Here is a 25,811-nt window from a genome sequence, read left to right on the forward strand (position 1 = left end):
TGTGTGCCATGGTGGTTTGCTGCACAGATCTTCCCATCACCTGGGTATTAAGCCCAGCATCCACTAGCTATTCTTCCTAATGCTCTCCCTCCCTCCACCATCCCCCGACAGGCCCCAGTGTGTGTTGTTCCCCGCTCCATATGTCCATGTGTTCTCATCATTCAGCTCCCACTTGTAAGTGAGAACATGCAGTGTTTGGTTTTCTGTTCCTGCGTTAGTTTGCTGAGGATAATGGCTTCCAATTCCATCCATGCCCCTGCAAAGGACATGATCTTGTTCCTTTTTATGGCTGCATAGTATTCCATGGTATATATGTACCACATTTTCTTTATCCAGTCTATCACTGATGGGCATTTAGAAAAATATGGAATGCTTCATGAATTTGCGTGTCAACCTTGCACAGCGTCCATGCTAATTTTCTCTGTATTGCTCCAATTTTAGTATATGTGCGGCTGAAGTAAGCACTTTAATTTTTTGACTTTTGTAAAAACACTTATCTTAAAACACACATTGTACAGCTGTGCAAAAATATTTTCCTTTCCCTTTTCTTTTTTTTTTTTGAGGCGGAGTCTCGCCCTGTCACCCAGGCTGGAGTGCAACAGTGAGATCTTGGCCCACTGCAACCTCCGCCTCCTGGGTTCAAGCGATTCTCCTGCCTCAGCCTCCTGAGTAGCTGGGATTACAGGCACGTGCCACCACGCCTGGCTAATTTTTGTATTTTTAGTAGAGACAAGGTTTCACCATGTTGGTCCAGCTGGTCTCGAGCTCCTGACCTCGTGATCCTCCCGCCTCGGCCTCCCGAAGTGCTGGGATTACAGGCGTGAGCCTCCGCGCCTGGACAATTAACTTTTTTAGTAAGTAGGAGTATACTCTAAAATAATGATAAAAAGTATGGTATAGCAAATACATAAACCAGTCACGTAGTCGCTTATTATCAAGTATTATGTACCGTACATGATTGTATGTGCTATACTTTTACACGACTGCAGTGTAGTAGGTTTGTTTAGACCAGCATGACTACAACTATGTGAGTAATGTGTGGCACTATGACATTACCACAGCTATGATGTCACTAGACAATATAAATTTTTCAATTCCATTATAATCTGGTCTGTTGTTGACTGCAACATCATTGTGCAGCACATGACTGTATATTATACTTCAACACAAAAGTTTACTTAAGAAAATAAATAGCGGCCAGGCTTGGTGGCTTACGTCTGTAATCACAGCACTTTGAGAGGCCAAGTGGGCGGATCACCTGAGGTCAGGAGTTTGAGACCAGCCTGGCCAACATGGTGTAACTCTGTCTCTACTAAAAATAGAAAAAAATTAGTCGGGCATCATGGCGGTTGCCTGTAATCCCAGCTATTCAGGAGCCTGAGGCGGGAGAATTGCTTGAACCTGGGAAGCGGAGGCTGCAGTGAGCCGAGATGACACCATTGCACTCCAGCCTGCGTGACAGAGCGAGACTCGGTCTAATAAATAAATAATTAAATAAGTAAATAGCTAAACCTGCTGACGCTACTGCATGAGAGAATTCCAGGGAGAGCTTGGAAACTGAGCATCTCTTTCGGTGGTATCTTCTGCTGATCCTTAGTTACTAGGTTTTCCAAAGTCCTAAAACCTGATGTCAGCAACCAGAGCTGTGGGGACAGAGGAAAAGAGGGAGGTGGCTTAGTAGGATGAGTGTCCCCAGGAGGGGCTGAGAGTGTCACTGGGCACACAGAAGCTCTGCAAAGGGATGGCTCTAGCCCTGCCTGAGCGGACCAAAGAGACCACTGTCTATGTTGAGCTGAGGTTGGCTCCCCACAAGCCTTCCGAGAACCTTGATCTGCTCAGATAAACCCCTTCCTTAGCCCTCTAGAATAAAAAGGAGAGAGCATCTTATTGTAGGCTGTAGGCAGGGGTGGGTGGAGGAGCTGAATTGGGCCCACTTTAGGCTGGGCATTGGATCCCAGTTTCACCAGTGTCTTTCTACATTGTTTGAGCTCTCCCAGATTGTCAGCTTCCTGCTGGCCAAGCTCAGCAACCCTCAGGGCATGGCTTGGCACTTGAGAAGTTTCCAGTGATGTTCACCTGAGTGGGGGTGGGAAGGCAGGAGTTAATGGCCCCACCTGCACCATGTCTCAGGGAGGAGAGCTCCTCACCCAAATGTCTGGATGAAAGGCAAAGAGGTATTCACTGGACCATTCAATGCCAGAGGGCCCTAAGAGTGCCTTGTACACAGTAGGTACTTCCACACCCTTGTTGAAAGTCTAGATGGAATGAAGTGTCCGGTCCTGGGTCTGCCTTAAAGCCAGGTAAGAACCTACTCTGTAGGGTGGAGAGGCCTCAAGGTTAGGCCCAGAGAAGGCAGGACCTGCCCTAGGCCACACAGAAGTCCCTGGTGGTGGCTGAGTTCTTGGAGAGGACAGTGGCAGCTTGAAAAACTAGTCCATGAAGTCAGAGAGAAGCACATACCTTCCTATTGCCCTGCCTTCTCCCCACGTACAGATGGCAAACTGAGTCTTAGAAGGCATAGGTGCCTAGTCCCTGCCTCACAGCTAATCTGCTGAATCTTGGATAAGTGCTGTGCTATCACGCCCACTCCTCTAATCTCCCTCTCCTTCCCCAGTCCTGAGTTTCTTCACAAAAGCATCACTGCCTACTCACACCCACCCACCCTTTGCATGCCTCTAGAATAGGGGTCAGCAAACTGTTTCTGTAAAGGGTCAGATGGTAGATCTTTTTGGCTTTGAAGTCCATAGGCCCATAGATTCTCTGCTGCAGCTCCTCAACTCTGCCTTATAATGTGAAAGCTGCCAGAGGAAACATGTAAATGAACAGGTGTGGCTGTATTCCTTTATTTATGGACGCTGAAATTTGAATTTCACATAATTTTTACATATCTGGCTGAGCGCGGTGGCTCACACCTGTAATCTCAACATTTTGGGAGGCCGAGGCAGGCGGATCACTTGAGGTCAGGAGTTTGAGACCAGCCTGGCCAACATGGTGAAATCCTGTCTCTACTAAAAATACAAAAATTAGCCAGGCATTTTGGTCCATGCCTGTAATCCCAGCTACTCGGGAGGCTGAGGCAGAAGAATCGCTTGAACCCGGGAGGCGGAGGCTGCAGTGAGCCGAGATTGTGCCACTGCATTCCAACCTGGGCAATAGAGTGAGACTCCGTCTCAAAAAAAAAAAAGTAAGAACTATTCTTAGCTCATGGGCTATACAAAAATGGGTAGTGGGCCAGAATTGGCCTTCAGGCCACAGTTGGCCAATTCTCTGTTGTAGAATGTGCCATCCTGGGGCTCAGATTCCCCATAATCACTGAGGCTGTAAGTCCTGTCCTACCATACGGGTGGTATGAATGGCGAACTGTTTGGTTTGCTCAGGAATGGGGGTTTCCTAGGCTTTAGATTTTTTGGTGCTAAAACCAGTACAGTCCCAGGCAAACCAGGACAGAACAGTTGGTCACCCTAGGTAGTAATCATTAACCCAGAGAGGGCCAGGCTTCAGGAGCCAGCTGGCCAGGGTTCAGGTGTGGCCCCCAGGGCCCCCTCCAGGCATTGCCTTGTCCTTGTGGTTTGTGGTAGGGCCTTGTCCCATTGGGGCTGGCCCTCTGCAAGGAGATGCCCCCTCCTCCATGCAGGAAAACCTCTGTGGTCTGGGAGCTCTCAAAAGGCAGGAAGTTGAATCATCAACTCCGGTAACGTCTCTGTCAGCCTGTGGGTCTGCCCAGGGAGCTCAGGGCTCCAGGCCCAGGGGGCTGGCTCTGCGCTTTGTTTGCTGCTTTCTCTGAACAGGAAAGCTTCAGAATGAGGCTTCTAGAGAAATGAGAGCTGTTGAGTCAGATGGGGAGGAGCGCTGGATGTTAGGTTGACCAAGACTCTCACCCTGCTCTGGCCTGGACTTGCTTTGTGGCCTTCAATGACTCTCTCGCGCTCTCTGTATTTTGGCTTTGGCTTCTACCACAGAAATGCTGATTCTTGAAATCCTCTTAAATTAGGAGTATGAATGATGACCAAAGTGGGAGCACCCCGGCTTCCGAAGACCCGTTTTATCTTTTCTACCAGGGATGCAGGCTGCTCAGACACACTTCCCTGCCTCCTGCCTGCCTGGGAGAAGGACCTGACCAGCCACCCCAGTTCTGGCCACAGGGGCTTTAGGAAGGTGACAAGTCTGGATTTAGGGAGATGGAGGAGAGGGGCAGAAAAGGAGGTCCAGGTTAAAGACAGTTATCCACAGATGACAATGATAACCATACCACCTGTTGTTTATTAAGCACTGACGACGTGCCAGCCTTTCAATGATCTCATCTGATCCTCACAATGACTCTTTCAGTTAAGGATTATCATCATTTTCATTTTATGGGGAAGGCAAATGGAGCCCAGAGAGGATAAGTACCTTGCCCAAGGTCACACAGCTACCATGAGGTGCAGTTGGCATTAACTCTAACTGTGTTAGACTGTGGCTTTGAGGGTTGAGGGCTCAGGAAGCCCACAGGTAGCAAGGGAGGGATGAGACTGGCAGAGAAGTCTAGAGTAGGGTCGGGGGAGAAATTGTTCTTTCTTCCTGGTGCTGCATAGGGACATCCAGAGAATACTAAGAAGTCTGGGGTTTGCTAGGCTTGGAGACCATGTTCCCAGACCAGGGATCATGAGGACACAGTCCCTAAGCCCAGCAAAGCCCAGACTACCTACAGTCTGAATGCTGAACCCCTCGAGACCATTTGGAAAATCTGTCGAGGGCTTGAGGAGGAAATTGGATACATAGCAGGATTTTGCTACAGAGCAGAAATGAGCATTTACTTTCCGAGCAAAGACAGCCCTTCTCCAAGGATGCCCCTGGGTGTCTCTGTATGTACCTCCCCAACCCAGCATGGGTGCCATGCTCAAGGTTCAGACAGAGGACCACAAGCCCCATGCTGCACCATGCATAATGTCCCTCTTCCCCTTTGACGGGGGGGACGATGGGAGCTTGGCAGAATTTAACCATCCTTAGCAGAGGACCACGCCTATGAAGGGCCAATAGGGCCAGTGATGGGCTGTGCTCCTGGGGTGGGGGCAACCCTCAACTTGCTGTCCTCAGTAACACAGCCGATAGATGTCTCTGAGAAAAGAGACCAACCCAGCTGTGCCAGGCAACTGACTGGACCCCTGACTTGGATTCAGGTCAGGTCTAAAGATGCCTTCTCCCCTATTAGCATCAGGTTCAAAGCCAGGCTTAGCCAAACCCTAAACATTCCTTACACTTTCTGGGGAACCACGAAATTCTTCATGAAGCCCTTAATTTAAAAAGCATCTTGTAGGCTGGGCACGGTGGCTCACGCCTGAAATCCCAGCAGCACTTTGGGAAGCCGAGGCGGGCGGATCACGAGGTCAGGAGTGAGACAAGCCTGGCCAACAGAGTGAAACCCCTTTTCTACTAAAAATACAAAAAACTAGCCGGGTGTGGTGGCATGTGCTTGTAATCCCAGCTACTTTGGGGGCTGAGGCAGGAGAATCGCTTGAACTTGGGAGGCAGAGGTTGCAGTGAGCCGAGATCGTGCCACTGCATTCCAGCCTGGGTGACAGTGCGAGACATAGTCTTAAAAAAAGAAAAAAAGAAAAAGAAAAGAAAAGAAAAGCATCTTGTGCTGGGCACGGTGGCTCACGCCTGTAATCCCAGCACTTTGGGAGGCTGAGGCAGGTGGATCACTTGAGGTCAGGAGTTCGAAACCACCCTGGCCAACACAGTGAAACCTCGTCTCTACTAAAAAAAAAAAAAATTAGCCAGGTGTGGTGGCAGGCACCTGTAATCCCAGCTACTTGGGAGGCTGAGGCAGGAGAATCACCTGAACCCAGGAGGCGGAGGTTGCAGTGAGCCGAGATCGCACCATGGCACTCCAGCCTGGGAAACAGAGGGAAACTCCATTTAAAAAAAAAAAAAAAGCATCTTGTTCTGTCTGCTATGTGGGCTCTAACTGGAATTGGTAGGGCTATGGGCTCCAGGAGGCTTCATTAGCCAGAGGACCTACTAGGACTGGGCCTGCACTGATATCTTGAGGTAGAGGTGGGGGCCTGGAAGCTGGGTGCAGGGCTGAGGCCCCTCACTGGGTCTGCACTGAACAGCTAGGCCCAGGAGCCAAATCATGGTTGCAGACATTTGGCTTCCATTATCTGACTATTTGGGACAGCCTCAAGCTAGACTTGATTACTGCAAACCTGAAATAGTTCCTTATTAGACAGGGCTAGCTCACCCTCCTAAATGAGTCTTGTTGGGACTCTCGGGGTCTTGCACTGAGCACACTTCCTCATCCTATCCTCCAGCCCCTCTGGCAGGAAAGTAGGAGCACCCCCAGGGCTTCTGCCCCGGGCCTCTGCACAGACTCCAGGGGCACCTGTGGGGCTGAGGGCAAGTGGCAGCACAGTGCCTCCGGCCAGGACTGGCCCAGCCCTCTTCCCTGTGCCCAGCTCCTCCCCATGGAAGAAAGGGGAGAACAGGACTGGCTACTTGAGGACACCAGGGACTGGGCCTGCCTGAGAGTGACAGTTCTGGGACTCTCCCTGCTCCCGGTGAATGCCAGCCAGGGTGTGGGGCCCAGGAGGCTCCAGTGCTTTCCCAGTCCAAAGGTCACTAACTGCCCAGCCGCTGGGAGTGTGTGCAGGGGGCGGTTCTCCAGCCAGGGAGGTGCAGGAATAAAGGGGGTGTGGGGAGACAGGAAGAGGCTGAGCTTGTGGGGCCTGAGAGCCTCTCCCCTGGGCAGGGTGGGGTCATTGGGCTGCCTTAGATTCCCCCCCCCACCTCTCAGCCTGCTGCCTCTGGACAAAGCTCTGCAGAGGAGCCCCATCTCCTTCAGCCCCCTCCTGCCTTTGGGGTGCAAGTTTCCTGAAGGACTTGAGTGAGATGTCACCAAGCAACAGGCTGTCAGGCTCTTGGCAGCAAGTACTGGCCCAGCGACTCGCGGCAGAGTCTCTCCTTGGGGCGTCTGTCCTTATCAGGGGTGGATGCTGTCAGACTTGCTAATGGTGGAATTTCTGGCATGTGGCAGGTGGGTAAAAGAGACCCCTGGGCTAGGGAGCCATTTGCAAGTCCCTCAGATGGCCTCAGGTGTGGGTCATGCTCCACTGCAGCCATGGTTACTGGGAAGCCAAGTGGACTCCATGGGGCTCCAAGCAGTGGGAGGGAGCTCCTGGGAGACACAGTGTGGCCCAGATGCCCTGGTCATGGGGACATCCAAGCACAGGTGAGAAACTTGGGCAGGGAGGGTGCAGAGGAAATTTGGAAATGGCTGAGAGGCTGGACTCAAGGTCTCTTGGGCTTGAACTGAGCTCAAGCAATCCACCCACTTCAGCTTCCCAAGGTGCTGGGATTACAGTCGTGAGCCATGGCATCCGGCTGGACTCAAGGTCTCTTGTTCCCTGATCCTGGGCTTGGCATGGAGAAGGGAGGAAGCTGAAGGGGGCAGGTAAAAAGATGCCTACCTGGGCACTGTAGACTAAATGAACCCTCAGACTGTGAAAGTCTCAGAAATCAGAGAAAGAGGCCTGGTGTGGTGGCTTGCACCTGTAATCTTAACACTTTGGGAGGCTGAGGCGGGAGGATTGCTTGCGCCCAGGAGGTTGAGGCTGGAATGAGCCATGATCACTCCAGTGCACTCCAGCCTGAGTAACAGAAAGAGACCCTGTCTCAAAAAAGAAAAAAGAAAAAAAAAACAGAGGAAGGGACTGGCACTTCCAAGTCAGAGAGAGCTCCCTGAAGAGGTGGGCCTGGTAATTGAGAAAGAAAGCAGTTGAGACAGACACGGGGGCTATGGGAGCAAGAGTCTGGAGGTGCGAGCATGCCGGGCAGGTGTAAGGACTGGTGAGTCACCAGGGGAAATGTGTAAAAAGGCTGTGGGTAATGAGGTGGCAAACGGTGGAGAGCTCTGCCCTGAGCTCCATACCCTTCCAAGCCTTTGCCCATGCTTATGGTTGAATTGTGTCTCCATGCCATGCACAACAAAGATATACATTGGGCTGGGCACGGTGACTCACGCCTATAATCCCAGCACTTTGGGAGGCCAAGGCAGGTGGATCACCTGAGGTTGGGAGTTCGAAACCAGCCTGACCAACATGGAGAAACCCCGTCTCTACTAAAAATACAAAATTAGCTGGGCGTGCTGGCGCATGCCTGTAATCCCAGCTCATCGGGTGGCTGAGGCAGGAGAATCGCTTGAACCCAGGAGGCAGAGGTTGCGATGAGCCGAGATCGTGCCATTGTGCTCCAGCCTGGGCAACAAGAGCAAAACTCCGTCTCAAAAAAAAAACCAAAAACAAAACAAAACAAAAATATACATTGAAATCCTAACCTCCTGTACCTGTAAAGGTGACTGTATTTGGAAACAGGGTCTTTGCAGATTTAATAGTGTTAAAATAAGGTCATTAGAGTGGGCCCCACTCTGGTATGGCTGGTGTCCTTAGAAGAGGGAAAGTTGTTGAGGTGATGGGTATCCCAACTATCTTGATTTGGTTTTATACATTGTATACATGTGTCCAAATATAACCCGTACCCCCAAAATAGGTACAACTATTATGCAGCAATAAAACATTTTTATTTTTATTTTTACTTTTTTAAAAACAGGGCCAAGTGCAGTGGCTCACACCTATAATCCCAGCACTTTGGGAGGCTGAGGCACGAGGATTGCTTGAGCCCAGGAGTTCATCACCAGCCTGGGCAATATAGCCAGACCCGGTCTCCACAAAAAAATTTTTAAAAATTAGCTGGGCATGGTGGCCTGTGCCTGTAGTCCCAGCTCTTTGGGAGACTGAGGCAGGAGGATCAACTTGAGCCCAGAAGGTCGAAGCTGCAGTAAGCCATGGTCATGCCAGCGGAGTTGAGCCTGGACCACAGAGCAAGACACTATAGGGAAGACAGCCAGGTGAAAATGAAGGCAGAGACCAGAGTTATGCATCCGAAAGGCAAGGAATGCCGGGGGCTGCCAGAAGCTGGAAGAGGCAAGGCAGGATCCCCCACTAAAGGCCTTGGAGGGAGCATGGCTTTAGCAGCACCTCAATTTGGGATGTCTATTTTCCGGAACAGCGGGAATAAGTGTCTGCTGCTGTAAGCCACCCTGCCTGTGGCACTTTGTTACAGCAGCCCAGGAACCTGACCCAGCCAGGCTGCTCCTGCTGCCCAGTGTGCCCTTCTCTCATCCCTCCAGCTGGTCTCTCACTGCCTTCGAGCCCCATCACCTGCTCGGGCTCCCCCTCTGTGTGTCCCCAGTTCTGGACACTTATTCAGCAGACCTGTAAGTTTTGCTGGCCAGCCTATCTCCCTGGCTAGACTGAAGGCTCCTTCAGGGCAGGCCTAACCTGTGCTAGGGCAGCATGATGCCTGGTACAGAATAGGGGCTCCTTAGATGTGGGGTAAATAAAGGAATGCTCGAAGGGTGATGGGCCCCTGTGAGACTGGGATGTGCCATCTACTTCTTCACAGCCTGGCTCAGCTCAGGCTAGGGACATGACAGTGCTCAGAGAGGTCACAGCATCTTCCACACAGACCATTCCCAGCTCCGCCACTCTCCAGTTCCCTCTTGGTGCCATATGAGTCTGAGGAACTTGGGGAAATTCCTAACCTTCCCTTTCAATTGAGCCATTAGCCCTTGGAGTTAGCCACAACGTAATTGCTCAGGTCCCTCCAACAAGGGGACTGTGTCTGTGGCTTGATGACTCATGCACACTGCTCCATTCCACAACCTTGGGCAGGACTTGGGGCTGGGGACAGTGCCAGCCAGCATAGGCAAGGAGCTTGGACATCCCATTACCCCAACCCAGTCCCCAGGAACAGAGTGTACTCAAGGTTTCAGGACAAAAATCTAGAAGCAAGGAGGCGAACTGAGTGAGATTTGAGTGACGAAAAGGAGCAGACAAAGACAACAGCGAGTACAAAGGCCCTGAGGCAGGAACGAGCTTGGCATGATCAAGAACTGAAAAGAGCACAGGGGAGGCTGCAGCACAGTGAAAGAGAGGTCAGTGATAGGACATGCGATTAGACGGGGCCCACTAGACAATCCAGGATAATCCCTCCCTCTCAAGGCCCTTAATTTAATCATATCTGCAAAGTGCCTTCTGCCATGTCGGGGAACGTATTCACAGGCTCTGGGGAGTGCAGCGCAGACATCTTTAGGGATGGGCATTATTGTGTCTACCGCAGTATCTCTCTCACCCTCTTGTCTGTCTCTCTTGCTCTATCGCTACATTTCTGTTTACCTATCTACCTATTTATTTGAACCTGACCATGGATCTATTGACCACAATTTATTTCTCTTCCTACCCCTTTATCAAGCTTCAATAAGTTATTTATCAATCTATCATTCCTCAGTGGCTTTGATCTTTTACTCTGATAACAGCATCACCCCTTAGCCATCTGTCTAACAAACTAAACGTTAAACTCAATCTATCATTTAGTTGTCCTCTGTCCATGATGAATTATCAATCATCTACCTCCATCTTTGCAGATGTTGTACAGATGTGGACATTTTTTCTCAATGTCTATTGAAAAGATCGATAGATATGAGTTCAGTAAATATCCACTGAGTGCTGGCCACGTGCCCATTGCTATGTCATGTGTGGGTGAAATAAGGGGCTGACACTCCCAGTAGCCATAGAGGGTCCTTTTTCATTTTATCATTATCCCCAACAATGCTGTGATCACCAATCCAGGCACACTGTCCAATTTTGTCATCCACCTTGGAATCTTTTTTTTTTTTTTTTGAGATAGGGCTCTTGCTCTGTCACACAGGCTGGAGGGCAGTGGTGTGATCACAGCTCACTGCAGCCTCAATCTCCCAGGCTTAAGCAATCCTCCCACCTCAGCCTCCAGAGTATCTAGGACTACAAGCAAGTGCCACCATGCCCAGCTAATTTTTGTATTTTTTAAGAGACAAGGTCTCACTATGTTGCCCACGCTGGTCTCAAACACCTAGACTCAAGCAATCCTCCTCCCTTAGCCTCCCGAAGTGTTAGGATTATAGGCATGAGCCACTGGCCCTGTCCAGGGACCATTTTTATATAAACTTTCCAGTGAAATCCAGGCTGCTCTAGTCTGCCTTTTGCCTACTAGCCTCCTTGTATATGCATAAATAATGCAGACTCATTTTAACTTGATGTTGATCTTACATAAAGTGTGGGTGGAAAAGTATATCTGCTGGGCAAGCATCTAGTGCATCAAATAACGAATCCTAAAGTTAAATGGAAATTATTTTTAGGTTGTCTGGGCAAATAGCACAGAAGGTGGGGGGAATCCAGAGATATGACCTCAGATGTGACACATGCAGACACACGACACACCACACATACACACACACACACACACACACACACACGCATATGGGTACACACAAATGCACCTTCTCTCTTCCTTCTGCCCCCACACTAGCAGCTCCTTCCTGGCTTCCTCCGCCCCTCACTCACACAAAGGGCCAAAGCAAATACTTCAGCACTGAGTCATGTCCTACCTCATCTTGTTTCCAGCCTAGGAATCTCACCTCCCCACCTGGGCTGTGAGGTCTTCTGGGGCAAAGATGGTGTCTGCTTCTCCTTAGGTGTGCCCTCCTAGTCTGATCAGCCAGAGGACTGGACACCTAGGAGCTGCTTGCCTTTCCTTGAGCTCCGAGGGCAGTTGAGGATCAGGGAGGCAAGGGAGCTAGATGTCCAGTGGTAGACGCTCTCTAGGGCAGCCTCTTTGCCCCCCCAGGAATCTGCCTCTCCTGCCCAACCCGGATGCCAGATAACATAGGTTTCTTTTTTCTGTAGCACTCTCCTAGAGGAGCTGTGTTAGGTAGATAATCTGCCTAGAGCTGGCCTAGCTGGGGATCAACTCAACAAGAATTTCTTGTTTCCAAGCGTCTCCTTCACATGGGCATCCAGTGCCAATTTGTGTCCAAGTCTCTTCCCTAGCACACGGGATGGAGGTCCAGCATATTTGGAGACAGCTCACTGTGTGCCAGAGCCACAGGTCCTAGAATATCCAGCAATCACAGTACCCAGGGCCACCCCAGCCTCACAAGTCACTGTGCCCAAGGCCCTGAGGGAAGAACAGCTTGCTCACTAGTGCCTGAAGGAGGCTCCCAAGGCAGCCACCTTGTACACTGGAGACACTCCCAGCAGTGGGAGGCAGATCAAGGCCAGGACACCGTTAATGAAGCTTTGACTAGGGTGAGGCATCTCAGGGCCAGCTGGCCTTGCTGCTTCTCACCCCACTCTAAGCCTTGATCTGTCCACATACTTGACCCTGTTAGAATCTGGTGTCTGCCCCTCCCCCATCCTGATGTAACACATCTCTGTAGCCTGAAGCCGGCCCAGTTCTTGGCTCAGAGCTACTGCGTCTGCAGCACAGATCTGTCCCTGAGCACAGCTCGCACCAGCTTCCCTGCAGGCCTAGAGCCCAAGCCCTGGCCTCAGGCAATCTCCGCTTCCCTTGAGGCCAGCCCAGAGCCCCAACTCAGTGAGTTCTCATGAACTGTTTAGACTCCACCAGGTAATGAATTGTCCCCACTCTGCTGTCTCAGGAGCCAGGCTGGGCCAGGTATTCTCAGATTGAATTTGTTGGGAAGAAAGGGCACTCCACCTGCTGGAGGAGGGAGCACCTCCTGGAGGCCATGCCGCTCAGAAACTTTCTTCCCACACAGCTTCCAGCCCCAGGCTGCCCACCCAAGTCTCAGCAGGCCAAAGGCCTAGTGAGGCTTTTCTGTGCCCCTGCTGGAGCCCAACGTCCATGAGAAGGCTCTAGAATGCATTTAGGATCTGAGACTGGTCCAGCTGAAACAGCCCAGAGAGACCCTAATCCTGGGGCCCAGAGAGAGCCAAACAGGCCCCAGGCCACACAGAGGGCAGCCCTGAGGCTAGCCTAGAGGGCAGGTTTCTTGCCCCTTCCTACCAGGAGAAGCGTGTCCTTGCCACACCAATGATGTTTCTGTCCCTGGGTGGATTCCAAGCACCTGCGGGGCAACCAGCACTGCCCAAATGCAGAGGGCTTCTTGGGTTCCCCCAGTAACCCCAAGGTCGACTCCTCCCCTCCATCTCCACAGCTCCTGCCCCTGCCCTTCCCCCCTTCCCAGTCTTGCTCCCTACATACTCCAGTACAAGCAAATTCATGAATTCGGTACATACATTTCCAGACCTTTTTTTCCCGTACAAAAATGCACATGTTTGTGTCTCTGTGTGTGTTCAGAGAAAAATGTAAACTTTCATTTTGTAGGGTTTTTTTTTTGTTTGTTTTGTTTGCTTTTTTTTTTTTTTTTACTATGAGTGGGATCATACTGCACATATTACCCTGAAAGTTGTCTGTCACTTAACACTTCTCTTTTTTTTTTTTTTTTTTTTTTTGAGACAGAGTCTGGCTCTGTCGCCCAGGCTGGAATGCAGTGGCCCGATCTCGGCTCACTGCAATCTTCGCCTCCCAGGTTCACACCATTCTTCTGCCTCAGCCTCCCGAGTAGCTGGGACCACAGGCGCCCGCCACAACGCCCGGCTAATTTTTCGTGTTTTTAGTAGAAACGGGGTTTCACCATGTTAGCCAGGATGGTCTCGATCTCCTGACCTCGTGATCCGCCTGCCTATGCCTCCCAAAGTGCTGGAATTACAGGTGTGAGCCACCGCGCCCAGCCAACACTTTTCTTAAGGTTCTTTTTACACCAGGTATACAAAACTGCACAATGCCACTTCTTTGGCTATCTTGTTCGTTTTTCTTTTCTTTCTTTCTCTCTCTCTTTCTTTTTTTTTTTTTTTTTTTTTTGAGACAGGGTCTCACTCTATTGCTCAAGCCAGAGTGTAGTGGTGCAGTCACGGCTCACTGCAGTCTTGGGCTCAAGTAATCCTCCCACTTCAGCCTCCCAAGTAGCTAAGACTGCAGGTGCACACCACCACGCCCAGATAATTTTTTTGTTTTTTTTTTGAGGTGGGGTTTCGCTCTTCTTGCCCAGGCTGGAGTGCAATGGCGCAATCTTGGCTCACTGCAACCTCCGCCTCCCGGGTTCAAGCAATTCTCCTGCCTCAGCCTCCCAAGTAGCTGGGATTACAGGCATGTGCCACCATGCCCAGCTAATTTTGTATTTTTAGTAGAGACGGGGTTTCACCATGTTGGTCAGGCTGGTCTTGAACTCCTGACCTCAGGTGATCCGCCCACCTCGGCCTCCCAAAGTGCTGGGATTACAGGCATGAGCCACCGCCCCTGGCCTAATTTTTTGTATTTTTTTATAGAGCCAGGGTTTCATTACGTTGCCCAGGCTGGTCTCAAACTCCTGGGCGCAGGCGATCCATCCACCTCAGCCTCCTAAATGCTGGGATTACAGGCGTGAGCCACCACGCCCAGCTGGCTGCTTTGTTCTATTTGCACTGTGCATTATTTAGTTAGTCCTTCAGTGAATGGACATTCAGTCTGTTTCCACATTTTCACTGTTACAAACAATGCTGTAATGGCTATTCTTAAACTGCCATCCTTGTGCCCACATCAGAGGGTCTCACAGCGGGGGGTGGGGGAGGGTTCCTGGATTTAGAGCTGCACGCTCTCATCTCCTTCCAATGTGAGGCAACTGCAGGGTCTCACCTTCACTTCAAGCAGCTCACAAATGTAGTTTCTGGAACAAAGGGCAGTTCCCTCCTCAGAAGGAGCCCCCAGGGGTTAGCATCATGCTCCATACCCCACTGCATGCTATAAACCAGGCAGACACCATCCATCTGTCTGACTTTGACTTCCCCTGTATCTTCCCACCTCCACTTCTCCCCTACCCCCAACCCCATCTCATATGAATCACCGTCACTATGCAGGTCCACCTCCAGGCCTTTCTCAAGAAACTCTCTTGCCCATTTCAACCTTCAGGATCCTCAGATGGCTTGTTGTACCTTGACCATCCTGCATATGCTTAAGGACCTGTCTTCCTAAATGGGCTTAAATCCAGTGAAGGGAGATCTGGATCTGAGGCTCACTGCCTTAGCGTAGAGCCTTCATGGTGTGTTTGTAAATGTATGCTACTTTTTTTTTTTTTTTTTTGGAGAGGGAGTCTTGCTCTGTCGCCCAGTGCGATCTCGACTCACTGCAAACTCTGCCTTCCGGGTTCACGCCATTCTCCTGCCTCAGCCTCCCAAGTAGCTGGGACTACAGGCGCCCGCCACCACGCCTGGCTAATTTTTTTGTATTTTTAGTAGAGACGGGGTTTCACCATGTTAGCCAGGATGGTCTCGATCTCCTGACCTCGTGATCCGCCCACCTCGGCCTCCCAAAGTGCTGAGATTACAGGCATGAGCCACCGCACCCAGCCCCATACTTTTTATTATTATTATTATTAGAGACATGGTATTGCTCTGTAACCCAGGCTGTAGTGCAGTAGAGCAATTCTAGCTCACTGTAGCCTCGAATACCTGGGCTCATGCAATCCTCCTGCCTCAGCCTCCCAACCTGTTGGAATTACAGGCATGAGCCACCATACCCTGCCCCAATGTAATGCTATTTCTAATATAAGCCAAGTTACCTCCAGGGTGACTGTGAATCAGTAAATACATGGGGCCAGGTATGGTGGCTCACATCTGTAATCTCAGCACCATGGGAGGCTGAGATAGGAGTATCACTTGAGACCAGGAGGTCAAGACCAGACTGAACAACATAGTGAGACCCTGTCTCTATAAAAAATAAAAAATTAGCTGGACATGGTGGCTCATGCCTGCCGTCCCAGCTACTCAGGAGGCTGAGGCAGGAGGATCACTTGAGCCCAAGATGAGCTTGAGACCACAGTGAGCTATGATCGATTGCACCACTGCATTCCAGCTTAGGTGACAGAGTGAGACCCCGTGTCTAAAAAATAAATAAATAACAAATAAAAATAAATCAGTAAATACAAGGAAAGGGTCTTTGTAAGACTATCAGATGTGGGGAGATTTGCTTTGATTGATCAGAAACCCTGGGAAAGGTGAAAGTAAGGGTTTTGCTTATACTGCTCAACTTGACTTAGAGCCAACACCTTCAGTTCTTGGTGGTCCTTGGATTGGGCCAGGCCTTTCAGCTCAGAATGGGGCGTGTCACACTTTGACTCTGGTTGGGCTGGCCCTTGACTTGGCTGGAGTTATTGGCTGCTGCCAGTTTCCGGGGAAGCGTTTGGAGGCCCCAGGGATCTTCATTTCCTTTTGCCATCTGTAGCCACCAGGCTGGATCTGAGAGTCTAAGAGGGACAGGTGGCCTGGCTGGCACATTATCCAGACATCTCCTGGGACTGGGCAGTACCGTCTCCGAACTGGCTGGCTAAGGCTCCAGAGGGGTGCCTCTCCCAGGCATGTGTTTGTAGTGCACCCCAGGAAGAGCCAAGTCTGGATCTTTCCAGGGCAGTGTCTTCAGCCATGAACACAGACCTGAGCAGATTTTCCCTCTGTTCCAAACCCAAGCTGCAATTTCTGCCTGGAGCCCAGAAGGCAGAAGCTGCTGGTTTTGTCCTCCCTGAATGCCAAATAATATGTTTTCTACAGAGTTTGGCACATAGTAGGCACATAGGAAATATTTACTGAATGAATGCTCATCCTCCTTTAGAGGAGGCCACCTCATCCCACTGGATACATGTGGCAGGGTAAAGATGGGATGACAGAAACAGAAGAAACAGAAGGAAGTGTGAGCAAACCTTACTTGGATCTGTGCAATTAGCAAGTCTTCCCACTCCATTCTTTCCCTTTAGGATTCCCAGGAATTCTCCAGGAACCCTAAGGTTACAGGGCAGGTATTGTGACCCAATTTTTCTAATCTCTAAACCTGTTCTATTTCAAGTGTGATCTGTGGACCAGCAGCATGAGCATCATCTTGAAGCTTGTTAAATATGCAGACTTGGCAGGGCACAGTGGCTCACGCCTGTAATCCCAGCACTTTGGGAGTCCAAGGGATGCAGATCACCTGAGGTCAGGAGTTCAAGATAAGCCTGGCCAACATGGCAAAACCCCGCCTCTACTAAAAAATAAAAATAAAAAAATTGCCAGGCGTGGTGGCGGGTGCCTGTAATCCCAGCTACTCGGGAGGCTGAGGCAGGGGAATCACTTGAATCTGGGAGGTGGAGGTTGTAGTGAGCTGAGATCGTGCCACTGCACTCCAGCCTGGACGACAGAGACAGTCTCAGTCTCAAAAAATAATAATAATAATAACAATAATAATTAAAATGCAGACTCTTGGCTGGGCGCAGTGGCTCACGCCTATAAACTCAGCACTTTGGGAGGCCCAAATGGGAGGATCACTTGAGGCCAGGAGTTCAAGACCAGCCTGGGCAACACAGCAAGATCTCTGTCTCTACAAAAACTTCTAAAAATTAGCCAGGCATGGTGGCATACGCCTGCTGTCCTAGCTACACGGGAGGCTGAGGCATGAGGATCTCTTGAGCCTAGGAGGTGGGTCGAGGTTGCAGTGAGCTGTGATTGCACCATTGCACTCCAGCCTGGGCAGCAGAGTGAGACCCTGTCTCAAAAAATAAATAAATAAATAAAAATAAAAAAGGCCGGGCACAGTGGCTCACGCCTGTAATCCTAGCACTTTGGGAGGCCGAGGCAGGTGGACTGCCTGAGCTCAGGAGTTCGAGACTAGCCTGGGCAACACGGTGAAACCCCGTCTCTACTCAAATACAAAAAATTAGCTGGGCATGGTGGCATGCGTATGTAATCCCAGCTACTCGGGAGGCTGAGACAGGAGAATCGCTTGAAATAAAATAAAATAAATAAAAAATAAATTTAAAAGAATGCAGACTTTTAGCTCTCCCAGACTTAATGAATCAGACTTTGCATCTGAACAAGATCCCAGGTAATTTGTGTGCATAGTGTAGTCGGACAAGCATTGCCCTAAGCAGTGAGTATGTGAATACAAGTCTAGAACCCAAATGAGGACTTCTCACCTGGCACAGAAGTGGGCTGCTGGGGAGTGTGGCTAACTACATCTGCGGCTTCTGCCTACCTTGATGACTCAAATTGTTGAGTCAGGTATTTTCTGTTTCTTTCCAACCCTTGTATACCGCCTTGAACATAGCAAGTGCCAGGTGTGGTGGCACGTGCCTGTAGTCTCTGGAGGCTGAGGCGGGAGGACTGCTTGAGCCCAGGAGTTCTGTGTGGTAGTTCATTATGTGGATTGGGTGTCTGCACTAAGTTTGGCATCAATATGGTGACCTCCTGGGAGCAGGGGACCACGAAGTTGCCTAAGGAGGGGTGAACTGACCCAGGTCGGAACATAGCAGGCAATAAATATCCTGGGAATGAATGTTGAACCAATCTTATACTATTCTCTCAGTTTAGGGTTTTTAGGGTATGCTGTACTTCTGCATCTGGACATGTACTGAAAGTTATTTGAAAGGATTTTTAGTCCGGGCGCAGTGGCACACGCCTGTAATCCCAGCACTTTGGGAGGCCGAGGCGGGCGGATCACTTGAGGTCAGGCGTTCACGACCAGCCTGGCCAACATGGTGAAACCCCGTCTCTACTAAAAATACAAAAAATTAGCCTGGCGTGGTTGCGGGTGCCTGTAATCCCAGCTACTCGGGCGGCTGAGGCAGGAGAATCACTTGAACCCAAGAGGCGTAGGTTGCAGCGAGCCAAGATCGTGCCACTGCACTCCAGCCTGGGCAACAAGGGCGAAGCTCCATCTCAAAAAGAAAAAAAAAATTAGCTGGGTGTGGTGGTGCACAGCTGTAATCCCAGCTAGTCGGGAGACTGAGGCAAGGGAATCACTTGAACCCAGGAGGGGGAGGTTGCAGTGAGCCGAGATGGCGCCACTGCACTCCAGCCTAGGCAACAGAGTGAAACTGTGTCTTAAAAAAAAAAAAAAATATATATATATATATATATATATGTATATATATATATATATATGTATATATATAAAAATATATATATATACACACACACATATATATGTGTGTGTATATATATATATATATATATATATTTTTTTTTTAGCCAGGTGGAGTGGCTCACTCCTGTAATTCCAACATTCTGGGAGGCCAAGGCGGGAGGGTTGCTTGAGCCCAAGAGATCGAGACCAGCCTGGACAACATAGCAAGACCCTGTCTCTACAAAAACTAAAAAAAGAATTTTTGTTCCGAACCAGGACCCCTGGAAAAATAGCTATTGTCTAATGAGCAATGACTGAGCGCCAGGCCAGTGCATGGAACCATGTGGACATGTTCTCAGTGTTTCACAAAGTGTGGTTCAATGCCATGTACATTATGAATGACCAAGTACTTGTTAAAAGCTGCAGGTTTTGGCTGGGCGCAGTGGCTTATGCCTGTAATCCCAGCACTTTGGGAGGCCAAGGTGGGTGGATCACCTTAGGTCAAGAGTTCAAGACCAGCCTGGCCAACATGGTGAAACCCCATCTCTGCTAAAAATACAAAAATTAGCCAGCCATGGTGGCAGCCTCCTGTAATCTCAAAAAAATAAAACACTGCAGATATTTTTTTTAATTGAAAAAAAAAAAAAAGTTGCGGGCCCTGCCCCAGACCTGCCTACTGAGAACCTCTGGGGATAAGGCTCAGATATCTGCAATTTTTGGCCGGGCACGGTGGTTCACGCCTGTAATCCCAGCACTTTGGGAAGCCAAGACGGGCGGATAATTTGAGGTCAGGAGTTCGAGACCTGGCCAACATGGTGAAACCCCATCTCTACTAAAAATACAAAAAGTACTTGGGTATGATGGTGGCACCTATAATCCCAGCTATTTAGGAGGCTGAGGCGGGAGAATCACTTGAACCCTGGAGGCAGAGGTTGCAGTGAGCCAAGATGGTGCCACTGCACTCCAGCGTGGGCGACAAGAGTGAGACTCCATCTCAAAAAAAAGGCTGGGGCCAGGTGCAGTGGCTTACGCCTGTAATCCCAGCACTTTGGGAGGCCGAGACGGGTGGATCACCTGAGGTCGGGAGTTCGAGACCAGCCTGGCCAACATGGAGAAACCCTGTCTCTACTAAAAATACAAAAATTAGCTGGGCATGGTGATGTGTACCTGTAATACCAGCAACTTGGGAGGCTGAGGCAGGAGAATCGCTTGAACCTGGGAGGCGGAGGTTGCAGTGAGCCCAGATCGTGCCACTGCGTTCCAGCCTGGGCGACAGAGCAAGAGTCTGTCTCAAAAAAAAAAAAAAAAAAAAAAAAAAAATCTGCATTTTTAACATGCATCCCATGCACCCCATCCACACTAAAGTTTGGAAATGATTGCATCCCTAGTTTACAGAGGAGGAGACTGAGGCACAGAGAAGTTGATTGACTTGTGCAAAGTAACAGAGCTGGAGAATGGTGGAGACAGGACTCAAACAAAGGATTGCCTGATTCTGGAATCCACAGTTTTAATCATATTGTCTATTACACTAGAAAAACTGATGTCCAGAGTGACTGTGTGTATTTAGTCATGTATATTGATTTGTGTGTATTTCGTGTGCCAACAAAGTTTGCTAGACTGTGACCCTTGGAAGGCAATTAATGTGTTTTATTTCTCTCAGTATTTGTAGCATCCATTACCATGCCTAGTACACAGAAGATCCTCAACAGAAGCTGTTTGAATTAAATTTCTACAGATACGTAGTTATCCATCTCTATAAACATTCACAGATAAATATATACAGAGGACATCTCATTTTCAGGTAGCATCTGAGAACAAGTTGTGACAACTAGAAACCTTCCCTCTCTATCTTGAACTATTTCAATCAAGCTTTTGCTAGCATTATTCCATTGACATGGCTCTTGTCAAGGTCACCAGTAACCTCCATGTTGATGATTCCAATGATCAATTCTCAGCCTCCAGCTTGTCTGACCCCTCCACAGCTTTGGACATAGGGCTTTCTTCCCTCCTGCAACTCTCTCTCACTTCCTTTGGCTTCCAGGATATTCCTATCTCTTTGAATGCTTTTTTTTTTCTTTAAACAACACTAACAACACTTTTGCTGATTCCTCTTCATCTTTCAGACATCTTTACCTTGCAGTGCTGAAGGGTACCATCCTTGAGCCCCTTCTCTTTCTATGTTCACTTAGTTGATGATCTCAAATTTAAATACCATCCATCTGCTCACTGACCACTCTCCAATGACATCTTCAGCCCAGACCTTGCCCCTGAGCTGAGGCTATCATGTCTAGCTGCCTGTCAATGGCTGCACTTGGATGTCAAATAGGCATCTCAAGCTTCATATGTCCAACACTGAGCTCCTAATCCCCTAAAACCTACTCCTTCCAGTTTCCTCCATCTCAGTTAAGGACAACTCCATCTTTCCATTGGTTCAAGGTAAAACACTTATCGTTGTCCTTGACTTCTTTCTTTTTCTCTCACTCCATCAGCAAATTCTGTCAGAGCTACCTTCAAAATGTAGATGACCGCTTTCCACCACTTCCATTGCTACCGCTCTGGTCCAATCATCTCTCACCTGGTTTATTCAGGTGGTCTCCCAACTGGCCTTCCTGCTTCAGCTTTGCCTCTTAAATCTGTTCTCCATGTAACAGCCAAGAGACCTGTTAAACCCAGGGTCAGATCATCTCAGTCCTCTGCTCAAAACTCTCCATATCACTCTAGCAAATGCCAAATTCCTAACAATGACCTAAAAGGCCCTATATAATCTCTTTCATTTACATATTAAGCATATTCCTGCCTCGGAGGCATTGCACTTGCTGGTCTCTTGAGACCTTGGTTCTTAACCTTTTTTGTGCATGTGCCATGGACTGTTTTGGCAGTCTGTGACACCTGTGGACTCCTTCTGAGTATAGTATCTTTAAATCCATAAAATAAGTTCCACAAATCATTAAGAAAACAAATTGTACTGAAATACAACTCTCGAAATATTTAAACATATATATGTGCTTCTCTATTAATTCATTAAATTATAAGAGTTAGCAGCATGATTTTGAAGTAGTGATGAGTAAAATGATACTTTTTCAATAAATTACTCATAAAGTGTAACGATATTTTAAGATATTTGCAACAACTCTAAAGTGATATGAAAATATCTGTGATTTCTACCAGCAGTAATGTCACAGGTGCTGCTAATATCACTGATTTGTTATCTGTATTCATAATTGAAGGACACGCTACATTTTAATTAGTGAAAATAAAGTTGTAATTTTTTTCTCACCTAAGGTCAAGATCCTCTGAATTCTATCCACAGACCCATGGAGAGGAGAGTCTATGGTCTCCAGGTTAAGAACGGCTGGCTTCTCTTCCCCCATGTACATACACACATACTCCCACATACAGTTCACTCCTTTACCTGCTCTTCTCAAAGACTGTCTTCTCGGTGAGAACTTCCCTATTTTATTTAAAATTGCACTCCCACACTGTGTATCGCCCTTTCCTTCTTAAGAGTTTCTCCACAGCACTTAATCACTTTCAAACATATAGTTATTTTTATATTTTAGAGTTTAGAATAAAATCATGTCCAATTTTAATAACCTGCTCACTCTAGCAGCTAACATTTTTACCTTTTTTTTTTTTTTAAGTTCTGGGATACATGTGCAGGATGTGCAGTTTTGTTACACAGGTAAACATGTGCCATGGCGGTTTGTTGCACAGATCATCCCATCACGTAGGTATTAAGCCCAGCATGCATTAGCTATTTTTCCTGATGCTCTCCCTGCCCTGCTCCTCATTTATTTTATTTATTTACTTATTTGTGTGTGTGTGTGTGTGTGTGCTGTGTCCCCAACACCAAGAATGGTCTCTGGCATACGGGAGGCTTGTTGAAAAACAATGAAGGATTACATCTCCAAGAACTCTCTTTCTTCTCATTTCTTTCCTGTAAAAAGTTAATGAATGATTACGTCCAAAGCAGAGATTGTGGAAAAAGGAAAAAAAAAAAAGTTAATGAATGATTTGTGAGACTTTTAATAAAGATTAAGGAGTTACAATTAGCTTTATCGTTATCATTCTGTTAAAGCTTCCAAGGTTAACCTTAAACAGCAGCAGAGAACTGTGGGAATCCAAGGATTTTGATAGGGCTTCCAGTCCTAAGCAAGAGGTATTTTCAAGGGCTCATTAGAAGGCCTGGGTCTCACCCCAAGTCAGGGAACCACCTCAGAAGCAAAGTGCTGCTCATAAAATTCTTTCTTGCCAAGACAGCAATCAGATCCCCCCATCCCCAATCAAACCAATAATAGTAATACTTTTTATTTCTGGCAGTGTGGTAAAATAGAAACTACATAGGTCTCAAGGTCAGCTAGACCTAGGAGCCAATTCTGCCAGCACTTACTAGCTGTGTGGCTGTGGTAAGTTACTAAACCTTTCTGAAAAGGGAGGAAGGGGTTTGGGGGAGGATGAGATAGAATGGCTCACAAAGTGACCAGTACACTGCAGGTGCACTTTAAATGGTCACACTTCCCTCATCCATCTCTGGAGGTCATCTCTTTAGACTGTGCCACTGTAAACTGGTACCCTCACTCCCACCCCGGAATGGACATCTGGACCTTGACCATCAAGCTTCAGAGAACAATTTCACCCTTCCAAAATAAAAAAAACCCACTTAGGTACCAGGCAAGGTGCTAATGAGCACTATGCACCCTGTGCCAGTTGCTGCTTTACACATACCACCTGTATATGTACGTACATACATATATGTGTATGTGCACACATGGCCTCAAGAACCCTCCAACCACCCCATTCTACCCAAAAGGAAAAAGCGATCCAGGGAGATGAATTCACTTGCCCACATCACACAGCTTCTGAAATGCAAAGCCAGGATTAGAACCTAAGTATTTAACTATTTTGTTACACACTCCAAGTCTGCAGCACCTGTTTCCAGACTCTGAGCTTGGCTAGAGAAAAATACCACCAATTGACCACTGAGAGCCACAGCCAGGTCTAACTGGAAGGTAATACCCAGACCATCCTCTTGCCAGACAATTCTCCTCAGACTTTGTGAATGAAGGCCAAGGAAGAAGAAATGTTGCAGTGACTCCCTTTGAGCTCATATTTCTTTCTTGTTGCAAAAACTGCTTATTTCAGCATTCATCATCTCCCTCTTTGTTGGGTAGACAATCCGCCCTGTCGGAGGATTTGTGCTGTTATTATGAGTTTGTTTATTATTAGATTTATTTCTCCTATAAGCAAATGTGTTCACAACATTCCATCGGGGAATCTTCTTAATTGTCACATAAATGTCATCTTATGTAAATTGAATATTTATCTTCCCATGGAAGGGGGTGGAGGGGAAAGGAAGAATAAACAATCTTCAGTCTTGGAGAGGGAAGGCGACTCCGGTGTCCATTCACAACTCACCCACGTGCCTTCAAAGCCAAAGGTGAGCTGAAAAATTATTGGATAATCTGAGGGGCAGCCGACCATGAGGGGGAAGAAAAAGTTGGCCACGATGCTTTGGGGATGTTGGGCCAGGCTCCCCACAACCTCCTCCCGAGGCCAGACCCACCCCCTCCCCAGCTAGAGGCATTCCGAGGAGGTTGGAGCTTGACCCCCGATTCCTCCCCAACCAGGAGGCCAGTCCTTCTCCTTCCTCGAGAGAAGGTGAGCTCGGCGGGCGCAGCGGGTTGGGTGGGTGTGGCCCGCGGCTCCGGGAACAGACCCAAGGCCCCGCCACCGCCGGCTAGCAGCCCGACAGCCCGCCCGCCTGGCGAGCGCAGGCTCTTCTTCCAGAAACTGCGAGGATCCGAGCGTACTGTTTGTGCACCACAAGGTCAAGTCGGGAAGTGGAGCCGGAGGAGGAGGGGCGAGGAGGCGAAGGGTGGGGAGAGGGGCGCCCCGCTTCCTCGCCATGTGCCAGCCTTTGGAAGTTACCCCTCGGTTTTTAACCCTTTCGGGGTAATGGGAAGGAAGAGCAAGGAGGAAGGGGTCGCCCCGGGGCAAAATCCTGCTGGGGCCAGGATGTGCAACCACCCACCCACCCGCTCATCACTGCCTTCTCCACCCCCCGGAAATGCGGGGCAGCGCTAGGCGCCAGGAGGCACCCGGGAGGGGGGAGGGGGCGACGAGCCCAATGGGGACCCTCTCTACGGACCGCCCCTCTTTTCTTGAGGTCGCCTACAATTTCAAGTTCCCCCGCCCGGAATGTTAGTTTTCCATTTGGAGTGGGTGCGGGGAGGAGGGCCGCGCCCCCTCCCCAAGACTCGCGTTCGCCCCTCCACTCCCCTCCTGCCAGCACTTTCTGCTCACTTCTGGTGCTGCAAAACGCCACGCAATTTATTCGATTCGCATTTTAAAACCAGCGATTCAGAAGCAGGGCCTAGGGCGAGGGTCTTCCAGCGCTGGAGCCCCGGGGGGCGGGGTGCTCAGTGCAAACCTCGTTCCCTCCGCGAGTGTCGCCTCCAGGCTGTTATTTGCAAAGAAACGTCTTTTTGACGCAGGGAGAAATGGCAAATTTTAAGTACGTCATTAATATGGCGCCAAAAGATTTTTTTAAGTATAAGCTCGCTTTTTTTTTTTTTTAAGGTTGCGGGGGGCGCCGCCCGGGTCTGGGGCGCGTAGGGGGCGGGGTGTGAGCAGAAAGTGTGAGTGAAAGAGTGGAGGGGCGGGGTATGTGTGTGAGTGTGTGAAGTGTGAGCAGACCTGATGGGACTTGCACGGGCGCAGCCGCCGCTCGGGCCCGGCCCTGGGGACAGGGCGGGCTAGGGGCGCCCCAGAGTCCATGGGGAGTCCGGGCCCAGGGTGCCAGCAGGCGTGGTGGTGGGGCTGCGAGGGAGGGCACCCTTCCCCCACGGGGCCCGCAACGCTACCTGGACTCCCCGCCGGAGCCAAACAACTGGGCGGGGGGTTGGGGGGGCGGCGACGGGGGTGTCGGGAGCGGAGATCCGAGTGAATAAGAAAAAAGTGGCTACTCCCCCTCCCTCGCTCCTCCTGCCCGCCCCCACCCCACCCCCACCCCAACACATTTTTTTTTT

At 49.3% G+C, this 25,811-nt stretch overlaps 1 protein-coding gene, 2 long non-coding RNA genes and 2 pseudogenes across 9 annotated transcripts in view, besides 6 other annotated features; 3 read left to right on the plus strand and 2 right to left on the minus strand.

The window, feature by feature from the left end:
* On the minus strand, nt 359–465 carry RNU6-456P (RNA, U6 small nuclear 456, pseudogene; annotated as a pseudogene).
* Nucleotides 3,649–3,988: an enhancer, noted in NCBI's record as "active region_23147". NCBI's record gives its function as "activates an Ori minimal core promoter by ATAC-STARR-seq in GM12878 lymphoblastoid cells {active_cell/tissue: GM12878}" and the evidence as "EXISTENCE:reporter gene assay evidence [ECO:0000049][PMID:35858748]".
* Nucleotides 6,347–7,001: an enhancer, noted in NCBI's record as "H3K27ac-H3K4me1 hESC enhancer chr5:133841857-133842511 (GRCh37/hg19 assembly coordinates)". NCBI's record gives its function as "activates a minimal SCP1, AML or CMV promoter by ChIP-STARR-seq in naive H9 embryonic stem cells {active_cell/tissue: H9 hESC(naive)}" and the evidence as "EXISTENCE:reporter gene assay evidence [ECO:0000049][PMID:30033119]".
* On the plus strand, nt 6,733–9,411 carry LINC01843 (long intergenic non-protein coding RNA 1843). Its single transcript, NR_105045.1, has 2 exons — nt 6,733–7,015; nt 8,587–9,411. It is a non-coding gene; the product is annotated as a long intergenic non-protein coding RNA 1843 (long non-coding RNA).
* Nucleotides 9,257–9,930: an enhancer, noted in NCBI's record as "H3K27ac-H3K4me1 hESC enhancer chr5:133844767-133845440 (GRCh37/hg19 assembly coordinates)". NCBI's record gives its function as "activates a minimal SCP1, AML or CMV promoter by ChIP-STARR-seq in naive H9 embryonic stem cells {active_cell/tissue: H9 hESC(naive)}" and the evidence as "EXISTENCE:reporter gene assay evidence [ECO:0000049][PMID:30033119]".
* On the plus strand, nt 17,991–18,273 carry RN7SL541P (RNA, 7SL, cytoplasmic 541, pseudogene; annotated as a pseudogene).
* On the minus strand, nt 22,794–25,783 carry LOC124901070 (uncharacterized). Its single transcript, XR_007058942.1, has 3 exons — nt 25,647–25,783; nt 25,087–25,264; nt 22,794–24,225 (listed from the first exon to the last, which is right to left on the minus strand). It is a non-coding gene; the product is annotated as an uncharacterized LOC124901070 (long non-coding RNA).
* The window catches only part of JADE2 (jade family PHD finger 2), a 59,219-nt gene continuing 57,597 nt past the window's right edge, over nt 24,190–25,811 (plus strand). For 4 of the 7 annotated variants that reach the window (NM_001308143.2, NM_001388188.1, NM_001437925.1 and 1 more), the window contains exon 1: nt 24,496–24,610. Coding sequence is in view for 2 of the 7 variants with exons in the window: in NM_001437914.1 (NP_001424843.1) it covers nt 24,301–24,441 (141 nt within the window). In the remaining 5 variants the exon portion in view is untranslated. The other 3 variants (NM_001437914.1, NM_001437915.1, NM_001437916.1) reach the window with 2 other exon arrangements.
* Nucleotides 24,621–24,940: a silencer, noted in NCBI's record as "silent region_16358". NCBI's record gives its function as "represses an Ori minimal core promoter by ATAC-STARR-seq in GM12878 lymphoblastoid cells {active_cell/tissue: GM12878}" and the evidence as "EXISTENCE:reporter gene assay evidence [ECO:0000049][PMID:35858748]".
* Nucleotides 25,521–25,570: a silencer, noted in NCBI's record as "silent region_16359". NCBI's record gives its function as "represses an Ori minimal core promoter by ATAC-STARR-seq in GM12878 lymphoblastoid cells {active_cell/tissue: GM12878}" and the evidence as "EXISTENCE:reporter gene assay evidence [ECO:0000049][PMID:35858748]".
* Nucleotides 25,591–25,810: a silencer, noted in NCBI's record as "silent region_16360". NCBI's record gives its function as "represses an Ori minimal core promoter by ATAC-STARR-seq in GM12878 lymphoblastoid cells {active_cell/tissue: GM12878}" and the evidence as "EXISTENCE:reporter gene assay evidence [ECO:0000049][PMID:35858748]".

This window comes from Homo sapiens, chromosome 5, assembly GCF_000001405.40.
Source record: "Homo sapiens chromosome 5, GRCh38.p14 Primary Assembly".
NCBI lineage: Eukaryota > Metazoa > Chordata > Mammalia > Primates > Hominidae > Homo > Homo sapiens.